Consider the following 27186-nt stretch of genomic DNA (forward strand, 5'->3'; position numbering starts at 1 on the left):
TGGGATTACAGGCGTGAGCCACTACACCCAGCCCAGGCCTTCAGACTTTTGTGTTCTCTTCCAGCTCAGCTCTTTCCAAAAGCCAGTAACCCCATGCAGGTTGGTCCTCGCTGTGAGATTCTTTCTGAGTAGTCTACTCTCTGTCCCTTGTCATCACAGTATTCTTGCTTTTGAGGGAATAGGCCCTACCAGACCAGTCTGAATCTCCTGAAATGTTGGTGAATAAAATTTTGTTCTGATACCACAGTGTAAGTAAACAAACAAACAAACAAAAAGCAGTCATCATTTCCAATTTTTCTAGAAGATCTCAAGTTGTTTTTCATGCATATGGTGAGAGAACAAGTTTTTTGTTTTTCTTTTATCTTAAAACTGTATATGCTTGTGCTACCCAGAACACGGTATTATGCAGTTTAAGAGATTCTTTACATGCTTGGCGCGGTCAAACATCAATAGTTCCACCTTGATAGACTTTCAAGTCTGGAAAAAGCTTAATGAAGTTAGGAGTCTTTATGGCCTCATTTTTTTCTTTTCAACTGTTAGTTTAGGTTCCAGGGGTATGTGTGCAGGGTTTGTTACATGAGTAAACATGTATGGGGTTTGGTGTACAGATAATTTTGTCATCCAGGAATCAGCATAACACCCGATAGGTAGTTTTTCAGTTCTCCCCTTCCTTCAAACTTTTACCCTCAAATAGGCCCTAATGTCTGTTGTTCCCTTCTTTGTGTCCATGTGTGCTCAATGTTTAGCTTCCACTTTATTTTATTTTACTTTGCCAAAGCTACAGAACATAAGAAAGTAGTCTGGGAAACTTCTTATAGTGAAAGGATATGTATACTTGTCTTTTGGGAGATACAAAAAAAAAAAAAGGGGTGAACAGGGCAGAATTTTTCCAATTCTTGGGAGAGGGAAAACTCCAAGAGATAAGAGTGGGTGGAGGTAATTTTAAAAAGAGAAGAAACGTTGATTGAGATTTGAAGGTTTGCTGGATGGCAGAAAAGGATAGCATGAAACCCCGGCTTTGGCCACAGATGTGTCTGAAAATGTTGTAGGACTGTCTCCTTAGTTCAGCCAAAAACCAGGTTCTTGTCACAGGACCAGGAAAAGATTAGGCTCACAGACACTTTGAAGGGTGGGGAGGATGGAGTTTGTTGGGAGAAAAGGAAAAAGGAAAAATAACACAGCAAAGTGAGATGGGGTCCTGCTAACAGGCTCTTCACCTCACCTGTTGAATCCCAGGTTACCACCCAGGAACAGGAGAGGCCAGGCTCCTTTCCCCCTGCAAACAGCAGGAACTTCCCAAGGTTTCACCCCATCCTGCCAGTCAGTGCGCCGGCTGGTTGGAGATTCTCTGGGGAGCCCTTTTTTACTTGGCTGTCTCCGAACCTTAATACTTGCCTGACATGCTGCCAGATTTCTTGAAAGACACGCTGCAAACTTAAGTTTTTTATTTGTTGACATAGGGTTTAGAAGGAAGTATAAAACACAAAGAGTGATGGAGGGGACAGAACAATGGAGAACCACTTTGAACCTAGACATGGAGTTGGCAAACTTTTTCTGTGAAGGACCAGCTAGTAAATATTTACATGATTTCTGTAGCAACTACTCAACCCTACCTTTATAGCATGAAAGTAGCCGTAGCCAATACATAAATGATTGGTCCCTGCTGGGATTCAATGTAACTATTCACAAAAGTAGGGAGTAGGCAGATTTGTTCTGAGGGTGGCGGTTTTTGCTCCGTCTGGACTGTTTTCCCAGATTTCTTTGCATTAGCGTATTTACTACTTCTCCTGTTAGCAAGTCTTGACTGAATCCGCAAATAAATAACATAAGATTCTTTTCCAGTTTTACTCTTTCTTTTCCTATAATGTTTACAATAGAATAGTGCATGAATAATTTTGATTCCACCACTACCTCCATTTGCATCACACTATTTCATTTTTCTTATTATTCTCAGTGTAATAGAATGCATCACAGAATGATCACCTTGAGATTGTCAAGGTGTCACTATTTCTAAAAATTCAAAGTACGAAAGGGGTCTTTAAGGAAAGGCACCTGGGATAAGAGGCACATAGTTACTTAAGGAACAAGGGGAGCTAATAAACATCCTATGTATAGGTAAATAAAGTGAGTAAAGTACAATATTACTTTTACTTTTCAAGAATCAAACAGCTTACTTGAAATAAAATAAAGGGCAAAATGTCTCTAAATGTGGAAAATAAGTATCTGGAAACTAAATAATTTAATTCTAATTTACAAAAAGAAATACTGTGATACAGAAAAGCACTAAAAATACCTAGTGATTGATAGAAAAAGCAGAATACATTAAACATCAAAATAAATTATGTGGCAGTATTGTGATGATTCATCAGGGCAAACAAGTGGATACAGGTTTCTGAGTTTTAATCAAGGAATTCAATTTTGTTCAACCATATCTTTTGAGACAACAATAAAGCTAAAGTGGGGCAGGTTCATTTCAGATGAGAAAATATTTAAATGAATCATTTAAGAAATGATTAATATTATTATATATCAGTGAAAATTATTTCTGAAACTTTTAGTAGGATACATCTTTTGAATATGTGCATATATTTGGGAGATTCTGAACTGAATCAAGGTAATAGTTTTCCCTTTTCCTTGATTACTTACTCTAGAAATAAGAATACTACCGGAAAACATTTGCCCTATATCTAATGTAATTTGCCATACCTCAATTTTAGATTGTATTTATTCTTTTAAAATTTTTACTTTATTCTTATTTTAAAATTTATTTTATTTTATTTTTTATTTTTTTCAAGATGGGCTCTCACTCTGTCTTCTCGGCTGGAGTGTAATGGCCCAATTATGACTCACTGTAGCCTCTACCTCCTGGGCTCAAGGGGTGTTACCATCTCAGCCTCCCAATTGGCTCAGACTACAGGTATGCACTACCGTGCCCAGCCCAGCTGATTTTCCGGGTTTTTTTGTTTGTTTGTTTGTTTGTTTGTTTGTTTTTGAGACGGGGTCTTGCTCTGTTGCCTAGGTTGGTCTTGAACTCCTGCACTCAACTGATCCTCCTACCTCAGCCTCCCAAAGTGCTGAGATTACAGGCATGTGCCACCACATCCGACTCATCTTAAATTGTATTTATTCTTAAATTATTTTCTTTTTTTCTCAAGGTAGAATTTTTCCTATATGCTGAGATAAAGTCTGAGTGGAAGTTGCTCTTGTATTTATTCATATAGCTATTACTTTAATACTTTAAAAATATTTTAGATTTATATTAAGTAATATATTCAATTTGGTCAACATGTTTTATCTCTAAGCCTTGGCAATGTAGCAATATGTTTTTAAAAATACTATTTGTAAAATGTATTAAAGTTTCCAAATTAAGAATGAAAACATGGTTTTATAATAGCCTTTGGTGGCTGTTGGCTTCTAGTTTTCTTTTAAAGGTATAATGATTCAAGTTCATAGAATTCCTTCAATTTATATGCAAAGTTCTCCTTAATTGCATTTTCTTATAGGAGTATACTATTTGTTTATTAAGTAAAAATTTTCAATTCAGGAATTGCAATCCTTTCTTATTGAAAATCTGTACTTTTTCAGATTAAGAAAAAAGACTCACATGGTTGATGGTACTAAATGCTTCTTCATTAACTACTCTCTGTCTGCTCACTACTCCTTGCCTCATTACTGAATCATGATCATTTCTCCCCCTTAGATAAAAGCTTCTCTGTTTTATCAGCATATACCTCTGTTTTCTTATCTTTGCCAGTTCTTTTCTACAGGCCCCTGGGGCCAGTCCACCGCATCTGCTATATATTAATTTCCCCTAATTTGCTGCTGCATGTCTCATTCTATTGGGACCAATCTAATCTTAGATTTAATTTTTTTCTCAGACATTTCTTCTTCCTTCTTATATACCCAGTATGTAACAGCATCCTTGGCATTCCTTTCCTGTTCAGGCTGCTTCTCTATCAATTCCCTGAGAATCTTGGAACTGAGAGGCAGGCTCAGAATACTCCTTGATCTGCACTATCCTACTCTCCTTTTCCTCAATAACTTAAGGACTTGGTTTAGTCTTCCTCAATGGCTTTCTCTTGCCATTGTATTTAGAGACTTAGTACTCATATTGATGACCATTGATGACCCTGCTCTCTCATGGTTTCCACCTCCTAAAAGCTGATGGTGGTTGTCTCTATTAAGCTTCAGCCAATCTGAGCTTCCTATCATTGTGATTACACTCTCATTACTTGAACATATTCCATATCCGAGAACTATAACTCAGCATACTTTCTGTGAACCACAACATCTTACTCCAACTTCCATAATGAACTTCTCATTTATCTCCTCCCCCGAGTCCTTCTGTCCTTCTCATATGCCCTCTTACATCTTATTCATTCTGGTTTGCCTGCTTAAATGTTCAGCTTGTACTCCAGGGACAGCCATTTCAAAAGTACATTTGTAACCACTTTAGAATCTATTGTCCCTTTGATCTTCTACCAATTTTCTTTCATCTTTCCATTGCCCTAGTTATTCTCCTGTGTCTTTTGTAATGGGCAAACAAATTCTGTTAACGTGGGCTATGGACCCAAATGAGTGCTGCCTGACTAACTCTATAGCAAATTCTTGCAGTTTTACAGCACTTGGGATCTAGCCACTTTTCCCATCTGTAGTTGACTCATTCACTAATGTGGTCCAGGATTTTTCCTTTCATGGCACACATAGAAACTATTTTTATGCGACTTTTTACCTATGAATGAGGCCAAAATACTTGCCTTGTTTACACTAATGGACATTGCAAATACTTAGTGAGATAATGTGTGTTAAAATACAGTTTTACATCTATAAGGCCCTAATATTATAATCATTCCATAGGCACATCTCATGCTTTACCACCTCTGTGTCTTATTCATTCTGATCTCTGCCTGTGATATCCCTCCTCAACTTTTAAGACTTAGCTTAAATACTACTTTCTTCTGTGTTACCTCTATCCACTCAGCACCTGGCCTGTTCCTGTTGGCCTTGGTAACCAGAAATCTTTATTTTTAATAATCCTGACTATATAAGATTCTATGATCCTGGTATCCCAGGTAGTACTTAGTCCACTGCTCTGTATCTAGTTAGGCAGAATAAATTTATGAGGCACCAAATTAAATTGAATGATAAATTTTGCAAATTTAGAAGTATACTCCTGATAGCAAAGGTTTGAGTGAGTTTATGGGTTATTCACAGGACTTTTATGAATTTTTCATCCTTTTTATCTATGCAGCTCATCAGTTCATTATTACACTTCATTATAAAGAATACACTCCTTATTACGACGATAATAAAATGATTTTTTTTGTTACAATGAATAGATTTAAAGTGTCATTGATTCCTCTCCTCTTCAGTGATAGTTTTTTTATACACTAAGTTTTATACACTAAGAACCTTATGGTTTTAGTAGCATAAAATTGTCATCTTGTAAAAGAGCTTGATTACATCAGATAGTCAAGCTCTTGCTAGTAAGACATGTTTCTGAACAAGCCCTCAGAAAGGAAAATATATTGATAGATCACTTTACCATCACCTGTTTGAAAGAATAACTTCAAACTATTCTTGAATATTGAAAAATATATTTTCAATATTGCCTTTAAAAATCCTGTACTTTGAAGGATAACTGGATTAAATGCCAAAACAATTTTCAAAACACTCTATACACATGGCTTTGTCGTATTTTTTTTTGTGAGAGAATTTATGGAAATACTACCCATGGCTTACTAGAGCCACCTCAATCACCGTTTCTTTTTGCTTTGACTATGACATATTGAGTGTGGAAAATACTTTGTACGTGTATATATAATATATATTTTATGTGTGTATATATGCTTATATATTTATATATTATATGTTTATATATATGTATACATTTTTACATATTTATATATTATATATATTTTATATGTGTGTATATATTATGTTTGTGTATATATATATTACAGTAGCCCTTTACTTTTTTTCTTTTCTCAACACAGCTGAAGGATATAAACATTTACTTTAATAATAATAGCTTTCTAAAGCATTAATATCTCATTGCAGTGGGAAAAGGCCAAGAATCTTAGAAGCAGAATCTTAGAGACTTGGAGGGGAATTGTTGGAAAAAGGTACCTAAGGTTTATAAATATGTCCTCCTAGGAAGTTTTGCCTCTTTCCACAAATTTCCATGGGGAACCTTAAGTTATAAATTTGATTTCTTCTCAGGCATTTGATAGAATCTGACCCAGTAATTCTAAGTCTACATATTTGCCCTTTGGATAACATCGGTTTCAAAAATAGAGAGCTCTATATTTGCTTTCTTCATATATTTAGAACAACAGTTCTCTCAGGAATTTTGATTATAAATAGTATAAATAGATAAATGGGAAGCTGTAATCAGCCAGTTATTGGTTACCTAACATATTAGGATATTTATGACATATGTAGAAATGTAAGTTTTACTGATTTCTGGAAATATATAGATTTCTATGTATGTCAGGGAACATTAGAAGGAGTGTAGCTCCCATGTAGTTCAGTTCTGACATCTTTACAATATCTCTCACAGATTGATTTTTATTTATGACCATCTTGAACTATTGATGAGACATTATGTACTTCAAAGTCCATTATTTTTTGGGGCAATTCATATTGTTAGAAAATCCTTCCCTAAATCCGTAAATTGACATTTGGCCAAATAGAACTAATGTCAATTTCATGTGAATAGCTGTACTTAAGATTTGTAACTTAAGCCATTCTATAGTGTAGTTACCAGACCTTTTGTCATCCCGTCTCCTTCCCTGATTCTCTTGTCATTGTCCCAATTACAAATGTACTTCTTAGAAGTGAACTCAATCATGTAGCACAGAGTATGAGCATGACCATAATGTGAGCATTACTTTATATGCTATAATTCAGGCTTGAATTAACATGTAGGCAGCCAGATCAAGCATTGGCTTGTTGAATTTTTGATTAATTAGAGGCATCAATCTTTCATAATATGTACTGTTTTAGAGTTAGTCTACCTAACACAGGATATTTTGTTGTTTTTATGTTTTACATAGGTTTTCCTCAAATTTCTTAACAAGAGTTTGGACAGTGATATCTTTATTTCCAAAATCCATGTATTATACATATGTTAGGATATTTGTCAAATATACTTTTGATTTCAAACATTAAACTGTCCATATATCTGAGCACCAAAATAAGTTGATAAATATATTTTGCAAGTACATTTAAGTCTGAGATCTGAAACAAAGTGTAAGAAGTTATTTATGGGGGAAAAATCTAAATATCACACATATTTAGTCAATCAAATTGTGCAAATTATTTTCCCAAATTTGAACTAACCATAAGTTAGTGGGCAGTAAAGCGATTATAGGGAAATCAGTTCATTTCTCTGGGCCTCAGTTTCTTTATTTATATAATCATATGATTGGACACAAAATTTATATATTAATGAAATACTTGCAACATATATTTAGTCATATATATGGAATTCTAACAAAAATGATGTTTCTGGTTGATGAGCCATTTTGAAGCATGAGAATGAAAGGAAAGAAGTGGGTTTTATTGACAGCAACAAAAAGATTGGCAAGAAGTCACAGATATAGCCTGAGAGAAAGGAACAGACACACTGTGTTTCTTCCAAACACAGAAACACACATCAATTTAAAATACAAGCATTAGAACTAAAGTCCATAGCTTGGACTTTGGGTAGAAGCATATGGCTAGAAAGTCCTTTATAATCTCAAGGAGCTCTAAGTTTTAGAAAAACAATTATCATACAAGAAAGATTACATCATCCATTTAGTAATGAAAAGAAGACTAGTTCATTACATTATTGTTCATGGGATATTTGAACACTATTAAAAGATAAAAAGAAAGCAGAGAATATACTGGAAAGAAATACATCCATTACCATTATGTTTAGTTTTCTTATGAGTTTATGAGGAAAATCTTTAAATATTAGTAAAGAAAATTGACAAAAGACATGAAGAGAAATAATTCACATATCAAGAAATACAAATTCTCTTAAGGAATAAAAATGGTATTGATTTACCAAAATTTTAACCTCATTTGTAATCAAATAAATGTCAATAACAAAAGTAAAATATTTAACTGCCAAAATATTAACAAGTATCTCTCTCATTTGTAAGAATATAAAGTGATTTTTATCTCTTATTTCATATTATTCTGAATTTTTAATTTTTAAAAACAACTGCATTACTTTATAGCTGAAATCGACACCAAACATAATTTAGCTCCAGGCTTCCTGAAAGCCAGGCCAATGTGAAGCACTCAGCAGTATGTATAATGTAGGCTGAGGCACCTGTAACAAAAGACAGATTAAGAAGGGAAAAACATGCTAATTTATTTAATATAAATTTTACACAACAAGGGAGGCTTTGGAAATGAAAACACAAGGAAACAAGTAAACTTGTGTACTTTCATGCTTAGGTTTGATGAAGAAGTGGATAGTTGTGAATTATGATTGGACAAAGAGAGTATGATCTAATGATAATAAACTGGTGGAATTTAGCAAATTCTGTTGATTCAGATTCTCCTTTGTGTCTCTGTGTCTCCAGAGTATTCTGCATAGTATTCTTTGACACTGTATTTAAAAATCTATATAGCTTGGTGTTGATGGTAGAATACTTTCAATTTGTTTGTTAATCAAATAATACTTTCCAGATATTTCAGATGCCTTTAATATTTTGACACACAAAGGGAGAAATGTCTGATGGGGGACTTTGTACGTGATTTTCTTGGAGTGTAGAGACGATTAATTCAAAGATAAAGCATTGGGAAAAAGCTGGAAAATGGGAAAATTCTCCGATTTGGAAAAAGCTAAAGAAAATTAGAGAACATCATGACTTGTTCACTCTTTGTTCATTTTTTGTTCTTTATAAATTATTCTAGTAAGTTTATTAATCAATACATTGACTACTTGACTCCAAAATATTACGGAGTCTGTTGAAAGTCATTCTGCAACTCAGGGAAATTATGTAACTGCCCTCAAGGTTACTAGTTCTTAGACTTCTATCATAGATAGCAAGAGAAATCTAGGAAATCATTCACAAATCACATATCACATCCAGATGGCTTGAAATTTTGTAGCTCTAGTAATAATAGATTTAATTAGTAATAATAGATTTAATAATAGACAGTGACTATAAACAAGACAAGAGCCATCATAGGTTTTTTTAAATGAATCCACAGTAAGTTGAGGAGTGAACCTTATTACAATATTGTACTATGTTATTGTAGCATTGATCTCTTTGTTACTAAGTTATTGAATCTTTGGAGTTTAAGAAATATGGCAGATTGAAAGTCACTGAACATTCCAGAAATTTGGAAGTCTCAAGACCTCCTCAAGGATGTGATTCTGTACCAGGGACAATTTTAATATCAGCTTTAGAACTTCTGGTCCAGACCCCAGCTGGCTTAATAGCTGATGTACACCAGAGAACATGTATTTTGCAAGTAACTGGTTCCCTTGAGTGTGGCAGTAACTACTCGGTGTTTCCTGTTGCCTACATAATAGAGTTCATCCTTTTTATCCTGCTATTTAATGTACTTTGATATGGTGTAACAAAAATACCCTTCCAATCCCCCAAAGAAAGAAAATGACATGAAGGAAAAAGAAAAAAGGAATAAAATAGAGAAGTAAAGAAAAGAAGGAAAAAGGTAGGAGAGAGGAAGAAATGGTAGGGGAAGAAACTGAGGGAGTAGAGTAAGAGATTTATTTTTTGTGTGTGTTTAGCTCTGGCAGTTATTACTGGTGTGATATTTGGTGAAACATTAAATATCCCTGGGCTTCAGTTTCCTCAGAGTAAAACTGGAGGATTCTATTTGATAAACTTTAACATAGCTTTCAGGTCTTTTGATTTTGATCCCATGACAATGTTTGAATCTCCTTTCCCGCTCTATTTTTTCATGTGTTCTATACTTCAGCCAGATCCCTTTACTTAACAGTCTCTAAATCATTCTTCATCCTGTTTAGATTAATCGTTGCACAGTCTTCTCAAACTCCTTATCCTGCGGAAATTCTACTTAATCTTTATGTTTGAGCTCAGTCGTCATTCCATAGCCTCCTTGATTTCTGATGTGGACTTAATCTTTATGTTTGAGCTCAATTGTCATTCCGTAGCCTCCTTGATTTCTGATGTGGAAATTAGTTTCTCTTCCCTATGAGATGCTATATAGTACTCCTTGCTTTATATCTCTCTTATAGCTCTTAACATTCTATTATCAATTATTATTTGTATTTAATATCTTTGAAGACAGGGGCCGTATGGTTATCATTCTTATGCCTTTCATAGCTACTAGCAGTCATTTATTATATTAGGCAGTCAATAAATTGGTTGAATAAAACTAGACTAATTATGTGGAATTTATTTTGAGATATTTGTTTCTGTTGTCTTATGGAAAATTAACCATACAAAAGCCACCATTCATGAAGACAGCATGGAATGGTAGAAAAAAAGTAAAAGGTAAAATCTGGATTTGCACCCCATTTTTAAATTTAATTATTTTGTGAACCTGAACAAATTACTAACTTTTCTGAGAGCCCATTATTTATCTCTGAGGGGGGGGGGGGTGCCAAATACCTCCCACTTTTGTTTTTTAAGAAAGGTGAAATAATATATTTAATGTGACTGGCCAGAAGATGTGCCTGCCAAAGTCAGTTTCCTTTTCATCACTCTTTTAGTGAAAGTTAGAGACTTTATTTTGTGCTACTTATTTTATATTATTTCACTTTCCTATGGAGACACTTTGGATATCCAACGTTAAGGTATATTCACACCTATTCGAGGGTAAAACAGTATTCACTAGTACTAAAACTAATAGCCAATACTTTCTCCCAATAAATGGCTTTCTTTTCATTATGGCTTTAAATATTTGTATTAACTTAAAATCATGCTATGTATATATTTAATACCTTTCTATTAATCAATTCACAAAACATGGAGGACATGTTTCTTATGAAAGTGACACAAAGGCTAAAATAGTATTTTCAATAACATACATAGAAGCAGAGCATATGGGTATCTAAGAGAAGCATACGGATCTCCATATGTTAAACACTTTCTTCAAGAAACATGGCTATAGTATTGATAATCAGCATAGTATGGTTCCTTGATTTAATTAAAGATTAGAGTCCTTTATGTAGCAATAGTAAAAACCCTAATAACACTTTAAGAATAACTTACCCAGTGGTTCTCAAGCTTGGCTGCATATGAAAATCATGGGGGAACTTTAAAAGATAATAATGCCTGAGGTTTCACCCAAATACATCGCTGTTTAATTGCTCTGTGCTTGCAGTGTATGAAATTTTTGTGTTTTTTTTTTCATTTTTTAAAAAGTTCTCCAGCATGTAGCCAGGCTTGAGAAATATTGCTCTCAAAATACCAAATAAGGCACTGCTTTCAAGTTCCTCCAGAACTGCTTGACACTATGACATTTTATTTTCCTAAAAAGGTGGCAATGATACATACAAAGATATGTTTGCTCAATGCTTAAGTCAGTCTTAGGCATCAAAAATTGAAGTGCCTTCAAGCAAAAACTAAATAATGCAAAGTCTGTTTTTATTGGAGAGCAAGTTAGGGGGATTCTATCTCAATGTGTTTATTGCTTTCTTGTGTTTTAAAAAAAACCCAACAACGACAGTATTACATTTCTAAAGTACACCAAAATGGGTTAAGGGAGTAGTGAAGCATTGAGAATACTATCTGAATGTTGTCCATAGAAATATTCCACCATTTAATAGTCTCAGTCTCTACAAGTAATCAAAATTCAAACCATGTGATTAATGGCAATACAATAAAATGGCAGTTTTATTTTTTCAGTAACTTTGCATCTTTCAGTTACTATAAAAATGCAGTTTTCTGTAGCATGATAGTTCTAAAAAAAATCCTTTCTTCTAAGGATATTGCTTGTGAAAATGATGTATTGACTCTCTACATATTAAAGTTTTCAAAATGGAATTCCCTCCCTACATTTCAGTGATCTCCAATAGATAATGTTATTATTCAACTGTATCCTGCTATTAAGATCAGAATAAGAAATAGCAGCTTCAGATTTCCCATCCTTTTTTTTTGTTTCTGTTCCGTTCCCAGTAGTTTCTTTTTTTCATTCATCTTCAGATTTATCCATCCCTGGCAATTTCAAGCTAGAGGAAACAAATTAAGAAAAAAATTAATTGACTTTATTTGCTTTAATGCTGCCAGCCTATATTATCTGCTTTCTTAAATGAGTTTGGAATTGCCAGCTTTGAGGGTATTACACTACATTTTGGGTTGCTGCCAGCATATCCTGAACAAATATATTTATATCAAAGCTAAGCTGCTTAAATATTCATGTTATGCTCTTATTACGGTTTAGAGAAATGTGAAACCATTTAAGATTTGCAGACGTGTTACATGGCCAAAAAATGTGCTTGAACTGTCAGAAATATACTTTAAATTGATAGCGCTAACCTAGTTTAATAAGGAAAAGTTTCCACCGTCTTATTAGTAGTGATACATTTAAATTCTTAACTTTTTTGTGATTTTTCAGTCACTAGGGCAATATGAATGTAACCTTTTCTTGAAATGTCAATTGGAAATGACCCCAGGATGTAACGTTATGAAGTATGTAGACTATCAGATTTCATGTGCTTTATGTCTGTACCGTGATTTTGTAAGCACCCTTTTATCACATATACAATATATTTTGTTATATTATTTTTAACGCCTACTTCATTGGCATGTTTCTTCAAAATGTAGAATTGCTAAATTCTATATAAAACATGCTCTTAATTTCCAGTGACAGACTTTGAGGATTCCCAATTGTTTGAACAAAGCATAAGATATAAAAAAGGGAATAACCCAGAAAAGCCCAACACCAATAACCGTTACACGAAACAAAGGAAGTAAAGAAGGAGAAGCTGAATTCACACCCTTTGAAGAAGGGGGACAATTGAGTTATTCCTACCGTAGACTGAAGGAAGAAGGCCGATTTTCCTGTTGCCTCCTCTCTTTCCTGTTTTCTTTTTCTTCCTCCTTAGTTTTCTTTGATTGGTATCATCATCAACTGACCATTTGGAGCATCTGATTTTGTATAAAACAAGTTTGTTCTTTTTACTTTCCGTCAAGACAAATAAACTATTCAGAATGTTTAAATTCCAGAATTCCAAAAGCTCTTTGTTTATAATCATAGATTCTAGTGATACTAGAATGATCTATGATTTATGGCATGGAGCATTTTCAAAGCAGTCTGAGCAATTCAATATAAATTTATGAGATACCAGTGAGAATTGCCACTGTTTCACTCCTGCCCCTCCCATGAGTATAGACAAACATGCTAGACCTTCCCGTCAGGGGAAGAACCCATTAAGCCAGTTCAGCGGTCTCAAGTCACAGGTGCTGTTTTATGCCCTTCAGTTAAATGCTCAGATTTCAACATAGGAGATTAACTGGTTATAGCAATAGGTCCAGCCATGAGACTGCTTGTCCTATACTGAGATTTTTTTTATTTCTAAAACTAAACCTTTGGTCAGTCCAAACCATTAGCTTTTACTGAATTCTGCTCTATATGTTGTAGTGTTTGAGAAAAGTTCCAATAGCTTTCTCTGTGGGAAACCATAAAGTTGTTTTTTGCTTCAGTGAGGCATAAATCTTACTGGGGAGAGCCTGCGAGGATTACATGAGCATTGGTTTCAGTGCTCTGCTAAGAGAAGGAACTTAAGCTTATTGGTATAAGCCTGGTAGATTTTCAAGATTTTCAGACATTTTCCATGAACATTTACAAAATTCACATACCCAAGTATTCACAAATTTTGTATGCAGCAATGTATTACCTTTAACAGTGTTGTTTCTTTAATGTTTTAAAAAACATAATCCTGAATTTTACCAGCAGTTTGAAATAATTTTTAAGACTCAATAATTTATAAAATCTTCTACATTTTACCTACTGGATTTGGTTATAACAGGACGAAAACTATTATTTTGGGGAGTCTGTATGTATAAGGGTAGTGGGTCATGGGGATTAGTGGGCATGGCAGGCTGAGGCAGGGAAAGGAAACTGACTTTCTGGCTAAGTGGACTAATTTGTTTTTGCTACAGCATTTTGTGCATATAAAAGAGAAGAAATTAAAAGTGGGTAATGTGTTTTGAAATGTTGGTTCTATTTTTTTCTTATGAGTTTAGCAATATGTTGTATATTGAGTCTCCTCTCTCCAAGCAAAATGCCATAATTCAAAACAATGCTTCTTAAGTGACTAGAGTGGGAAGAGGGAAAAATTCTTCTAAGGATATTGGGGTTGGGAGTGGGATGATAACCTTTTTAAACTTATTTTCTAGTTTCCTCAATTCTTTGCTGAATTGTTCCTATCACCCTGCTTCTAGAATGCCATGGAGCAGGCTACATTATTAATAGTGTTATAGGAGCCATGCCTTAAAATCATTAGACCTAGGTTAGAAATATACTTCCCAAGTTAATTTAAAAAAAAAAGTGACTATTTCGGGGAGTCCTTATAAATTGAGTGTCCAGTAATTTTTCTGTATTTTTATTTAGTGGTACATTTACTTGGGTAATATAGGTAGATAACGGTTTGATTTGGGAAACATCATATGAACATGACATAAAACCAGATTAATGTTGAGTCTCTATTTAAATATGTTACAGATTTAGTAATCAGGTTTAGTAGGAGAGAAAATAACGGTATTTATGACTCAATGAGATAACTTGTTTTATGGCTGAATGGGATCTGATTGTACTATAGTATCTCCGATGGTAGATGTCATCAGAACCAGAATTACATTTCCATAAGCACAAGTTCTGCTTATTATATAATTGAATTAAACAGCTAGTAGTTTTTCCAGAATTGAGAGGTAAAAACTCAAAAAGCTAACATGGCATGTTTGATTCATGAACTTGATCTGGAACACAAAAAGCTTCTAATAATGGGCAGGTCTTGGGGGTCCTGGTTACCTTTAAGTTGTTGGACATTAGCAGGAATTGGGACAGATTTTTTTTTTTTTTTAAAAAAAGAGAAGGATGCTGAAAGGCATATGTGCATGTAAGAAAACTCTAATGGAAAACTTCACTAACATTATAATTTTGGTGACATATGGCCTTGAAATAATAAGAAAAAATATTATGAAGTCCTAGGACCCAGAAATTAGGTCTGAAATGCTTAAGTGAAATGCAGAATTAGGTACTCACACATTTTCAATTTGAGGAGGAATATTTTCCTTGGGATGATTTACATTCAATGTTGCTTGGCTGAATATTGTTTATCTAGGAAGCTACTTGGAGGTAGGGAGTGAGGAGAGGAGGGCCATGGTGTCCACTAGTGAGAGTTGTCCTGAAAATCAAATTCTGAAAAGGAGAGTAGTAATTTAGTAAAACAACCAGTAATTATCTGAAATAAACATTTTCTATATCCATTGTACCTACAAAATAATACATGGCACATAAGTAAATGCTCAAAAAGTTTTGTTGAAAGAATTAAAATAACATTATTCAACTGAACTTCAAATGTGTATTTGGTATATGTGCAGGTATGCTTTTGTGTGTGAATACAAGCTTAATTTGGAAAAAAAAACCATAGAGTTTAAAAAAGAATGTAAGCTATGTTCTTTAGTTCCTATTTTATACATCTTGGATTATTGCATTAAGACTTTTCATTTGTAGCTGTGTGCATTTTTATCTAAATATTAAGAGTTTTAAATATTTTCAGACTTATTTTAGTTAGGCAAGAAAAAGTATGATTTTCCTAGATAGAGTCATATCAAGACAAGCAATACTAGAGGACAAATCTAGAGTACAGATAATTATTTCTGGATTCTTTGGGAGGCTGCCTAAACAGAGTGAAGTTAGTTGCTCAACTTAAGTATGCCATAGCAAAAAGTCTTATTTTGTTTAGTTGAATCATTGGATTGATTCCTAAACAATTCTAAAAGGAACACCATGGCCTTTTGCATATATGCTTATGCTTAGGCAAAGCTATGACTATAAGTAAAAATGACATGCTTGTTAAGCTGCAGATATGTAACTGTCAGTAATCAAGCCATTGCATAGGAATTTATGAACAAATTCAGTGTGTCTGTTTTTCCCTGTGTACATAATTTTAATATCAACATCAATATTATAAACTAGGTAATTGTAAGAGGGTATGGTAAACTTGGTGAGGAATAAGCATATGTTGATAAATTTGCACCTCTCTTGAGGTCACTTATTGATTACAAAGCTTGTTATCTTTCATGTGCATTTAGTGGTGTAATTGCTTTTGAAAATTATGACAGGATGATACCAAATGCAAATTAATAGTATGGCACTTGACATACCTGAGATTTCAGCAATTTTTTTTCACATCCGTATGTAATCTTTATTGGCCAAGATAGTCTATCCACATTTTGTTCTGATGGAATATTTAATTTTTTTCATGGCTAAACCTGCTTTAATTATCATTTTGACTTTTTCACTTCTAAAAATAAATGTTCATTTTTGCTCTCTAAATATAATCTATAGCCTATTGAAATTATACTTATTTGCTAAAAGCTGTAGTGGGTCCTTTCATCTTCTTTTATTGAATTTAGGATTTTAACTACATTAAAATTTACAGTTTTGGTGCTTCACAGTTTACTTCTTTGAATTTTCTTTCAAACAAGGTTGACCTGGAATTAGAAATTACAAGTAGCCATGCTTGATTAAACAGTCACTCCCTAGATGCCACAGAATCCTGTGGCTACTACTCTGAAAGCAAAGGTAAGGATCATTCAATGTGTCAGGAAAATATTTTACAGTAGATTTAAAACCATTAAATCTTTCCATAATAATTTTATTTAAAATGATAAAATATTATATTTAGACTTGGAAAGTAAATTACTTTAAAAAGCAGAAAGCAAAAGCACTTAAGCCATCATTTTTAAAGACTTGTTGAAAAATAAGTATTCTCATGAAAACACACTGTGCATATTTGAAAAATATTATGAGATAGATTTGTGTTCTGTAAGTAGTAGATAGTTTATTATTGCTATGATGCTGGATTAAAATATTTTTGTTGCATATTATATATATTTTTTCCTTCTGAGAAGGGATCTTTTTTTTTTAAAGGACATTTCCAGAAAAATCCTCACATTAAAAAAGTATTATCCATATTATTATTTTAAGAATTTTATGCAACTGACTTATTTCATCACAATATGTTTGTGAAAAGCCATGAACCAATCTCTTTTTGACCAGTTTGTTAGATATTTCTTTGATGGGAATACACATTCTTTTAATTTAGTGCTCCAAATATTTTTCAAATTTTGGTATACAGAAATTAATCAGATTCCCATGGCCTGCTTAGATAAACTGAAGGAGTCTGGCTGCTGGCCCAGGGCTGGGGCTGTCCCAGCCTCCTGCAGTGCAGCCTCCAATGGTGCACTGATTGAGAGGCTTTGATGTAACTGACATTCACTGACTCAGTCTGTGTTCTAGGCACTGCAGATACAAAACTCCATCTGGGGTCAGGATCTTTTCCATATTATCTGCCTGGCACAAAAGAGTGCTGGCAAACCCAGTCCACCTCTGCTAGACAATCGTATCTGGTACTAGGACGGCAGCCTCTTCAGCAAGAAGGGGGTACATTGGCCAATTCCTATGAATTGGGCTCCTCGTGAAGAACTCATTTATCCACATGGAGTAGGTATTACCATGTCAAATTTTTCTCAAAACATAGGACCTCTCATTTCATGAGGCCAAAGATTTCTTGATTTTAAACTGACTTTTAATCCATGAGAATATGGCTTGTATTAATTTAAAAAGTAAAAGTGTTCAAACTGTGATTGAATCTTTTTTGTGATTATGACCGCAAATTTCTGTGACTTCAATATTTTCAGAAACCACAAAAATTTGATGCATCCAAATTTTTGTTTTGAAAAAAGTTGGAGTAATAATGGGGGAAAAATTCTCTGCTGCTTTCTGCTTCTGTGTTATTTAGGCGCTAAAGCTAAGGTCCCCAGAACACCATTTTTTTTTTTTAATGTGGTTTTCTTGACCAGAAGCAGAAAGTGTCAGCTCACATGTAATGAAAACTATCCATGCATGATTTCTAGCCTAATTTGGCAGATTCCAAAGGTCCTTTGAAAGACAGCTGACATTTCTGATGATTACCTAAATTGAATTGAACCTTTGAATGTTGTCATTTTAAAACATGTTAGACTCAGTCCAAAGACAAAAAAGAGTAATAGCCATATATTACAATTTCTGATGTGAAGAAACCATTTAGTCTTCCATTTATAAGGCACAAATATATTTGCCATGCATCTTAAGGAAATCCATCATAATATACTCTTACTGAGATTGCTTTCCCAGTCTTTGTTAGCATATTCACAGTATAGTTCTAGTCATAGACAGAAGCTACGCATTTTTTTAGAAGGTACAGCTTACTTGGAAATGGTAGTGGTGATTCTTCCTAGAGGTTGACCTTAACTATGCAAACAAACTAACAAATAAATGAACAAAGAAAAAAAACCCTCAACTTTATAGGAAGTTCTAGGTTAACATTTTTTCAACAATATTGGACCATTCATGGTGGCTAACGAATGAGTACCGAAATATAAAGGCTCACTCTAGAGTGTCCTCATGCATACCTCATTTTATTGTACTCTGCTCTGGACCATAGAAATTACACATCTCTTGCTTTTTTTTTTTTTAGACAGAGTTCGACTCTTGTTGCCCAGGCTGGAGTGCAATGGCACTCTGCCTCCCGGGTTCAAGCGATTCTCCTGCCTCAGCTTCTCAAGTAGCTGGGATTACAGGCGCCCACCACCACGCCCAGCTAATTTTTTGTATTTGCAGTAGAGACAGGGTTTCACCACTTTGGTCAGGCTGGTCTCGAACTTCCAATCTTAGGTGGTCTGCCCACCTCGGCCTCTCGATGTGCTGGGATTATAGGCATGAGCCACCGTGCCCGGCCGCACATCTGTTGCTCTTATCCACAACTTCCAAATTCTGCCTCTGCTTCTCCTGTTACTCCCTTTTTTCTCTCCCCAGTGTCTAGTTGTGCCACGACAGTGTCAAAGCCACAGTTGAGTATCACCTCCCTTGTGAAAACTTTTCTGGCTTTTCCCCAGCTTTTCACTCCTCAAATCTCTCAAGCAGTGTGTCATTGTATTTTCTCTGGGGCCATTTAGGTCTGTTTACACAAGGACAAATGTTCAAAGGAGAAAAAGTATCCCTCTAGAGTAACTTTTATAAATCTAAGAGTCAGTGTACCACATTCTGATAAAATTATATAGATACTAGGTGTTATTTCTGAATTGGGAAGTTTGTTTCTTCTTAAATAGATGAGTAGACCTTAAAATAAACTTGTATTGGTAATGTAACACAAGTTGAAAATCTAATTTGTGGCAACATGCATTCTTATCATTAACAGGAACTGTTGCAAATTGGCTAGAATAGTCCTTTGCAGTTTGGATTACTTTTCTATTATAGTAAGAGTGATACAGCACATTAACACTTTGGCTTATTTTGAATAGATAGATATTTGCAACCTCATCCTGGAGAAATTTGCATTCAATCTTTGAACAGTAGGGGGTTATCTCCATATAGAGAATCTTCAATTTTCACTATGCATTTCCTTAATTTTCTCTGGAAGGACACCTGCAAGAATTAAACATGGGCTCTCTAACATCAAATTTTGTGTCCTTAGAAGCCTGAGGGAAAGCAGAGGACATTCACAATCAGTCATTTTTTTTCTTTGATGAAAAGTCATCTGTCTTTTAAATTTTGGTTTAATAACAAATTGACTCCTTATAATGAAATTTATGTAGGTGGTCATTTTGTGATGAAAGTTAGAGGTAAAATATAAGTATTTTAACAGCATACTTTTAGTATCAATGTGTCTGTTATTATCGTAGACATCACCAATTAGAAAGGAAGATAACAGGATGATACACTGTGGAGATAAAGTGATAATTCTTTTAATATTCTTTAATTAAAACAGAAGAGTCAACTAATTTCCTAGTTGCTAAATACTGGAGATGAAACCATGTGGACATTTACAAATGTTGCTTCTGGGTGCACATGTTAGTTTTCTTTTGCTGATATAACAATTACTGCAACTTAATGGTTTAAAACAACACAAATTTATCTTGCTGTTCTGTAGGTCAGAAGTTGGGTACAGGTCTCACAGGGGTAAAATTAAGGTATAATCAGGACTGCATTCCTTTGAGAGACTCTTGGGGAGATAATGTTTTCTGCTTATTCTAGTTGTTAGTGGCATTCTGTTCATCGTGGTTGTAGTATTGATATCCTAGTTACTTGTTGTTTGCAGCTAAAGGTTGTTCCAAGGTTCTAGATGCCACCACATTCCTTACCTTATGGCCCACTTCCTCTATCTTCAAAACCAATAGTGGCCAGTCTAGTTCTCGCATTGCATTTCTCTGATTCAGCCAGGAAAAGTTCTTCACTCTTAAGGATTCATTTGATTAGATGGAACTGTCCAGATAATCCATGATGGTTTCCACATTTTCAGGCTTAACTCTTGATCACATCTGCAATATTCCTTTTATTATGTAAGGTAACATATTCACAGGTTCCAGGGATTAAGACGTGAACATATTTGGGAGGCCATTTTTCTGCCTACCCCAGGCTGAAAAAACTGAGTTTAACATAAGCTCTCCATTACCAGCACTCATTAGGGATTTTCAGGAAAATATCAGTTGGGTTAAATTGGGATAAAGAAAAGAACTGAGAAAAACTTTGTTTTATACGTCCTAAAGCCCAATTCTTGCCACTTCTAATAGTTATTCTACAAAACCAGCATGTTGGAGTGTTATATTCCCTGACATTCCTAGCTATTCTTAAGACATACGAAGCTGAGAATTGATTCACAAGGCTGCCTGGTTTTCAATCTCAGTTCTGATTTACCTAGTTTCGTATACTTTAATGTGATCTTGGGGAATTTATGTAACCTATCTGTGCTTAATTTTGCTCAAGTGAAATAGAGACACTAATATACCTCTTTCAGGGTGTTAAATGTTAATATGTTAATGTGTTGTTTGGTTAGAATTATTAGGGCCTAACACTGTATAAGAGTTATATATGATTATGGTAGAACTATACATTGCTACTGACTGCGCCGGTGTCCCTCAATACATATTTTTCTGATATAGCAATGTGCTCCATCTGAACATAGACCCAAGCAGTTTTTAAAAATTGATGACTGACCATGGGGAGTGTTATAAGAAATGGTTATTTTAAAGTTGACAGCATATTTTCTGTTTCTCAGGAGAAGGTTGAATTCACTTAATAGGGCAGAATGTCCCTTTGGTTTTGGAGAAAATGTCACTGAGCTTTTTCTTTCAGCAAAAATAGAGTCAAGATACTACTCTAAAAAAGACCAGGAAGATTTGGGGGACACAATTTCTCTGTTTTATAGTATAAAATGTTATTTTTCTTAAAAAAATTATAGGTACAAGGACATCTTAAAAATTAGATTTCCTATTAGTATCATTACACACACTGATCTGCTTTTATCTGTGCTCCTGGGAGTTAAAGTCAGGCCTGTGCCTGTGTTTGTAGCAAATTTTTAGAGAATGTAGCCCAAGTAAACTGCGAATGAAGAAATGAGAGATGGTGTGCAGAAAAGCAGGGCTGCTGTCCAAGGGAACTGGTAACATTCAGCCCTGATTGCTCATCCCACATGAGATAAACAGATAAACATCCCACATGGAATCCTGAAACTGGGTCGAGGGTGGGGTTTAGTGAAAGGAGGGAATGGATTTAGATGACTGCTGAGTAGGTCTGCTAGGAAAGAATACTTCCATCAAATTGGAACATCTGAGTTATGCTGAGAAAAATCTTTCTTATGTAAGGAAGAGATATAATGTTGAAGATTCTTGTGTTTAAAAAGCCTATATATATTTTTATTGATGCATTAAAACACCATAAATCAATGGTTAGCCATCTTAAAGATTTCAGACACTTATCTTTTTGACAAATCATCTATCAAAGTGTTTTGCTTGAAATTTGAATTAAGTGGAGCAATATGACAAATTATTTTAAACAATATTCTGCTAACATTATATAATAGCATAGAGACATTTTACAGGCAGTGTTTTAGAGACAGTATCCATAGTCTGCAAGACACACAAAAAGTATGAGTTAAAAAAAGAAACTGTAGTCTATACCTAAATATCTTTGAATAATATTTGTTTAGCACAATATTACTTAATAAATGCCTTATGATTGCAATGGTTGTTATTATTTCTTTAGAGAAATCTATGGTGAAAAAAGTAATTTTGGTTTTCTAATCAAGAGAGTTATTGACTGTCTTGATGCTAGACATAATGGTTGGAATGAAAGGAACTGAAATAGGAAGAATATAAATTGTATTTTTATTCCAATGTGTATTTTATTAACACATTGCTTGTCTTTACATCAAACTAGATAACTCAGTTGGATTGTGGCAACATACTGCCTGGTCTTTTGGGGAAGTTCTTAAAATCAATTTTAATAAAACGATTTAAAATGCCATAATTCTTTCTCAGTAAACCACTTTATGTACACCTGTTTCCTGGCAGACACCTCCAAGACGTTGCCTCTATCCAAGGATGACTCCAGGGCTCTAATATCTATCACACAGGTAGAATCAGATCATTGACACAAGGCAAAGAGACTCCAACATGCATGGAAAGTAGTATTTCCCAAGATCAATTTTGAGGAGCACTAGTGAACATCGTATTGGTAATTAAAAAAAAAAAAATTTCACTTTGTGTGATGGTTAATACTGAGTGTCAACTTTATTGGATTAAAGGATGCAAAGTATTGTTCCTGGGTATGTCTGCGAGGGTGGATTATAATATATTATAGATTTTTCCTTACTGCAAGAATTCCCTGGTCCTTCAATGCATAGTGTGACTAGTAAATCTCCAAAAGAAAAAATATATAAGATACATAACCTTTCCTCGAATTACTTGATTACAATACCCTCTATTTTTGCTGCATATTGTTTTTATTACTTGAAACTCACTTACATGAAGTGTGTATGAATAAGAATAACCAAAGAGCACATGTGGAACAGAGCAGCAGCACAGGTTTCGAAGCTAGCAATCAAGGCAACTAGCAAAACGCAGAATATCTGGAAGATTAGATATCCTACACAAGCTCAGCCTAAGGAGAGGGTCCATGGCTTTGGCAATGATAGCATTCAGTTAGTGATGTACAGCAGAGGTGCATGAAGCAGGTTGAAGAAAGTATGATTAATAAAACTACTTTCTACTTCATATTTTAGGCATTTTTTATAGTCCCTCCTGAGCAGGAGCCAATTGCAGTGGTGGAGGCATAAACTTTGCCTGTCATTATAAGTCACTGCATTGTGCTTCATTATAATTTTTACCTTTTCTTTTTCTTTCTTTTTTTTTTTTTTTTTTTTTTTTTTTTTTTTTTTTTTGAGACAGAGTCTCACTCTGTCGCCAGGCTGGAGTGCAGTGGCACCATCTCGGCTCGCTGCAAGCTCCGCCTCTCGGGTTCACGCCATTCTCCCGCCTCAGCCTCCCGAATAGCTGGGACTACAGGCACTCGCCACCATGCCTGGCTAATTTTGTTTTTGTATTTTTAGTAGAGACAGGGTTTCACCGTGTTAGCCAGGATGGCCTCAATCTCCTGACCTCGTGATCTGCCCGCCTCAGCCTCCCAAAGTGCTGGGAATACAGGCGTGAGCCACCGTGCCCGGCCCCAAACATTCTTATAAAAAAGACTTTGTGGTGGATTTTTCGAGGAAGAACAGCATAGGCCTTTTAAAGGGCTTATACCTGGCAGAGACTAAGTATATGGGGGAATTGAATTAGATTAATATTCTTTCTAAGTCAATCTTGATAACAGGACTCCTGAGCTCTTCCTTCACTATTTTATCATCTGCACCACTCCCTTTAATAGTTCCAAAAAATGCAATATGGCTAACAGGATAATATCTGAAAGCGAAGGATCTTGACTTTCCTTGGATAATTTTTTTTGCCTGCTGACTCTTAATTTTTATTTATTTTTAATTTATACACATAACGGGTACAAGTATAGTTGTATTACATGAATATATCGTGTAGGAGTGAAGTCTGAGCTTTTAGTCTAACCATCACCCAAATAATATACATTGTACCCATTAAGTAATTTCTCATCTCTTCCCCCTCAAACCTTCCCATCCTTCCAAGTCTCCAATTTCTATTATTCCACACTTGATGTCCATGTATATATATCATTTAGCTCCCAGTTACAAGTGAGAACGTGGTATTTCACCTTCTGTTTCTGAGTTTTTTCACTGGAGATAATGGCCTCCAGTCCCATCCATGTTGCTGCAAAAAACATGTTTTCATTTTTTTAAATGGCTGAATAGTATTCTGTTGTATGTATGTTCCACTTTCTTAATCCAATCACCCATGATAGACATTTAGGTTAATTCCATATCTTTGTTATTGTGGAGAACTTATTATAGAAGTATGTTTTTAGACCTCAGATTTAGAGAGTCTCACCCAGTAGATCTGCGGTGAAATCCAGGGCTCTCCATTCTTGTTGAGCTGCCTAGATGATCTGAAGTTAAAAGGCCCAGGTACCACACTGACAAGACTCTCCTAAAACCTTTGCAGTTGCAAAAATATTACTCTTCTAGCTGAGACACATCAAGCGGGACACCGATGTTATTTATTTAAATCAAGGCAATCCACATATAATGAGATTCCAGTCAGGTCAAGTACTTAGCAGCATTTCTGAGAAAGAAAATTATCTTTAATTTGGAGAATAAGATTAAGTTAATTCAAGTCTTATGGGGGTTGAGTGCTGTTTTGACTAGAGGGAGGCAATGTCTAAAAGCATGAGGTAAGATTGTCTTCCCACATGAGCTGAAAAACAAGAACAAGAACAACAATCAATCAAAGACAGTTTTATTTAAGTCTTGGCCTCCAGTCAATGTTGTTGTCATTGACACTCTAGGCTGATATGGTTCACACTTATTCAGTTGTTTCCAAAATATTTCCTTCTGTCATTGCCAGTGTTGTGGCAACGTCAAAGTGTTTCTTTCTGGGTCATGGTCTCTTCACCTTGAAACTCCTTAAACTTCATTCTTCCACTGAAACTAAAATTATGTGTTAATTTAATTTTATTCACCTCCAAGAAGCACAGTTATAGTTTATGAATGCATGAGATTTGATATAATATTCATTAATATAATTCTATTTTATTTTTTATTATATATAAATAAAAAGCTAATATGTAATTTGTGACATTTTCATAACTTGATTAATATTGTTATATTACTATTGTCAGGAACATTTCAATGAGCTGAACAGCCTTACGAATGACCAACACTCAATAGGAGATTCCTTGTAGCATATATTTACTTCACAATTAGTAGTCAGTTGCTGTGTAAATAAAACTATTTTTGCATTAGTGAAAACATATTTGTTAGCTACTTCGAAATATTAACAACAAAGCTGGCACTCTTTAAAAGGCTGCTTTTTTCTAAAAAAAAAAAAAAGCTTTTTCTGTGTTCACATTTGTCATGTAGCATATATCGTCTTTCATTCATTCTTTTTTCAGGATATAAATAACTTTCTCCAGATGTCAACCTTTATGGAGAGGAAAAGAGGCATCAGCAATTTCAGGCAACCACAAAAGCTCTGATGTATTTTGAAGGAGTTTGTGTGCTTTCAAGAGTTTTAGCAGGAAACTCCTGCAGATGATGAAGGTTGAAATCTAGAAATGTTTGTTGTTGTCTATATAAAGTATGGAATTATAAACATTTACTTTGTGACTGATGAGACTTAAAGGATGGATGAATTTTAAAGGTGTTCATTTATTGCTTTTAAATAACTTGTAAAAATAATTTTCTTTCTTCTGAGATTTGATCTAAGCACCCGCTAATATACATGATAGTAGCTGTCTTAGATGACACAAGAAAATGAAATGTCTATTCATTCATTTTTGGTTTGGCCAATCTCATACCACAAGACATATTTTATACCCTTTTCCAGCAACAGAAGTATGTTTTTATTGTATAATTTAAAGCCATTTTCTTTGTAAAATTTTAAACCAGTTGGAAATTTGTTGAAATTGAATAATTTCTGGACCAGAGAAAGCACTATGAATGGGGACTACATATAAATAATTTAAAAGTGAATAAGAGAAAAAGCCAAGAATTCATTTGCATTTTTGAATAAAGCCAAACTTTCATTTAATTATACAGTAGTAGGCTTTAAAACATATATTTTTAGTCAAGTCTGTAAAACTGCCAGATGCTAAAGTAACATAGATAAGCCAATTAGGAATAGTTTCATTAATATAATCAGAGATTTTATAAAAGATACAAAGCTTTCAAGGTTTGGATCTGAGACAAAGTTTCCAGAGCCTCTATGTAGCCTGGTAAAAATGCACAATGATTCAAATGCAAGCTTAAGGTAAGCTAAAGTCTTTCATTCTTATTTTTAATAGCAAACCCAGAGCTCGACCTTCCATTATTCAATATTGCTGTTACTGCTATAGTGGGAAGAAAAGAGGGCAAAAATTTGTGTTAGAACACTTACAGGGAAATATTTTTTACACTCCGAGTGATTATATTTTAAGATGTCTATCTACTCTATTCCCACCTTCTTGTATTATTCAAGTTCAGCAATACAGTGAAACATCTACATACAAACTTATGCTACACTTCAGTTCACATGATGAATACACATATAGAACCTCTATAATGAAAAGCAATCTAGATTTTATTTCATTTATAAATACCCAGTGTGGGCTGCTTTCATAGTCCTTCCTTATTTTTTTTTTTTTGAGGTTTCATTTTTTGCATGCCCACGATATATTTTTTTTTTTAATCTGGCAAGGATGTAGGAGTGTCTCTCAGGGCACGAGAAGAGAGCCACTTCAAGTCTGCCAGCACTCTACCCAACAGACCTATCCATCATTAAGGAGATCCCAGAAAGTAGGAGCTATGGAACTGCCTCAGGCAGAGCTAATGTGAGATAGAGGAAGAAATCACATCCAGCCAGATGTCTTTTGCCAAGGGACTGCCCAGTGGGAAGGACCCACAGAGCCTCTTAGGAACTTGCATGTGTCCCACACCAGCTACACAGAGGGGATCAGGTCCCAGGTAGTGGTAGCCAAAAAATCATTAACCACCCACAGAAAGAACTATAACAGCAATGAGGTAAGTGGAGAGGGCTCATC

At 34.6% G+C, this 27186-nt stretch overlaps 1 protein-coding gene and 1 long non-coding RNA gene across 8 annotated transcripts in view; one reads left to right on the top strand and one right to left on the bottom strand.

Moving 5' to 3' along the window:
• Window positions 1-27186, top strand: part of GRIK2 (glutamate ionotropic receptor kainate type subunit 2) — a 676376-nt gene that overhangs the window by 47403 nt on the left and 601787 nt on the right. The window lies entirely within an intron of this gene.
• Window positions 11807-13090, bottom strand: LOC101927388 (uncharacterized). Its single transcript, XR_245565.4, has 2 exons — window positions 12973-13090; window positions 11807-12169 (listed from the first exon to the last, which is right to left on the bottom strand). It is a non-coding gene; the product is annotated as an uncharacterized LOC101927388 (long non-coding RNA).

This window comes from Homo sapiens, chromosome 6 (genome assembly GCF_000001405.40).
Source record: "Homo sapiens chromosome 6, GRCh38.p14 Primary Assembly".
Classification (NCBI taxonomy): Eukaryota; Metazoa; Chordata; class Mammalia; order Primates; family Hominidae; genus Homo; species Homo sapiens.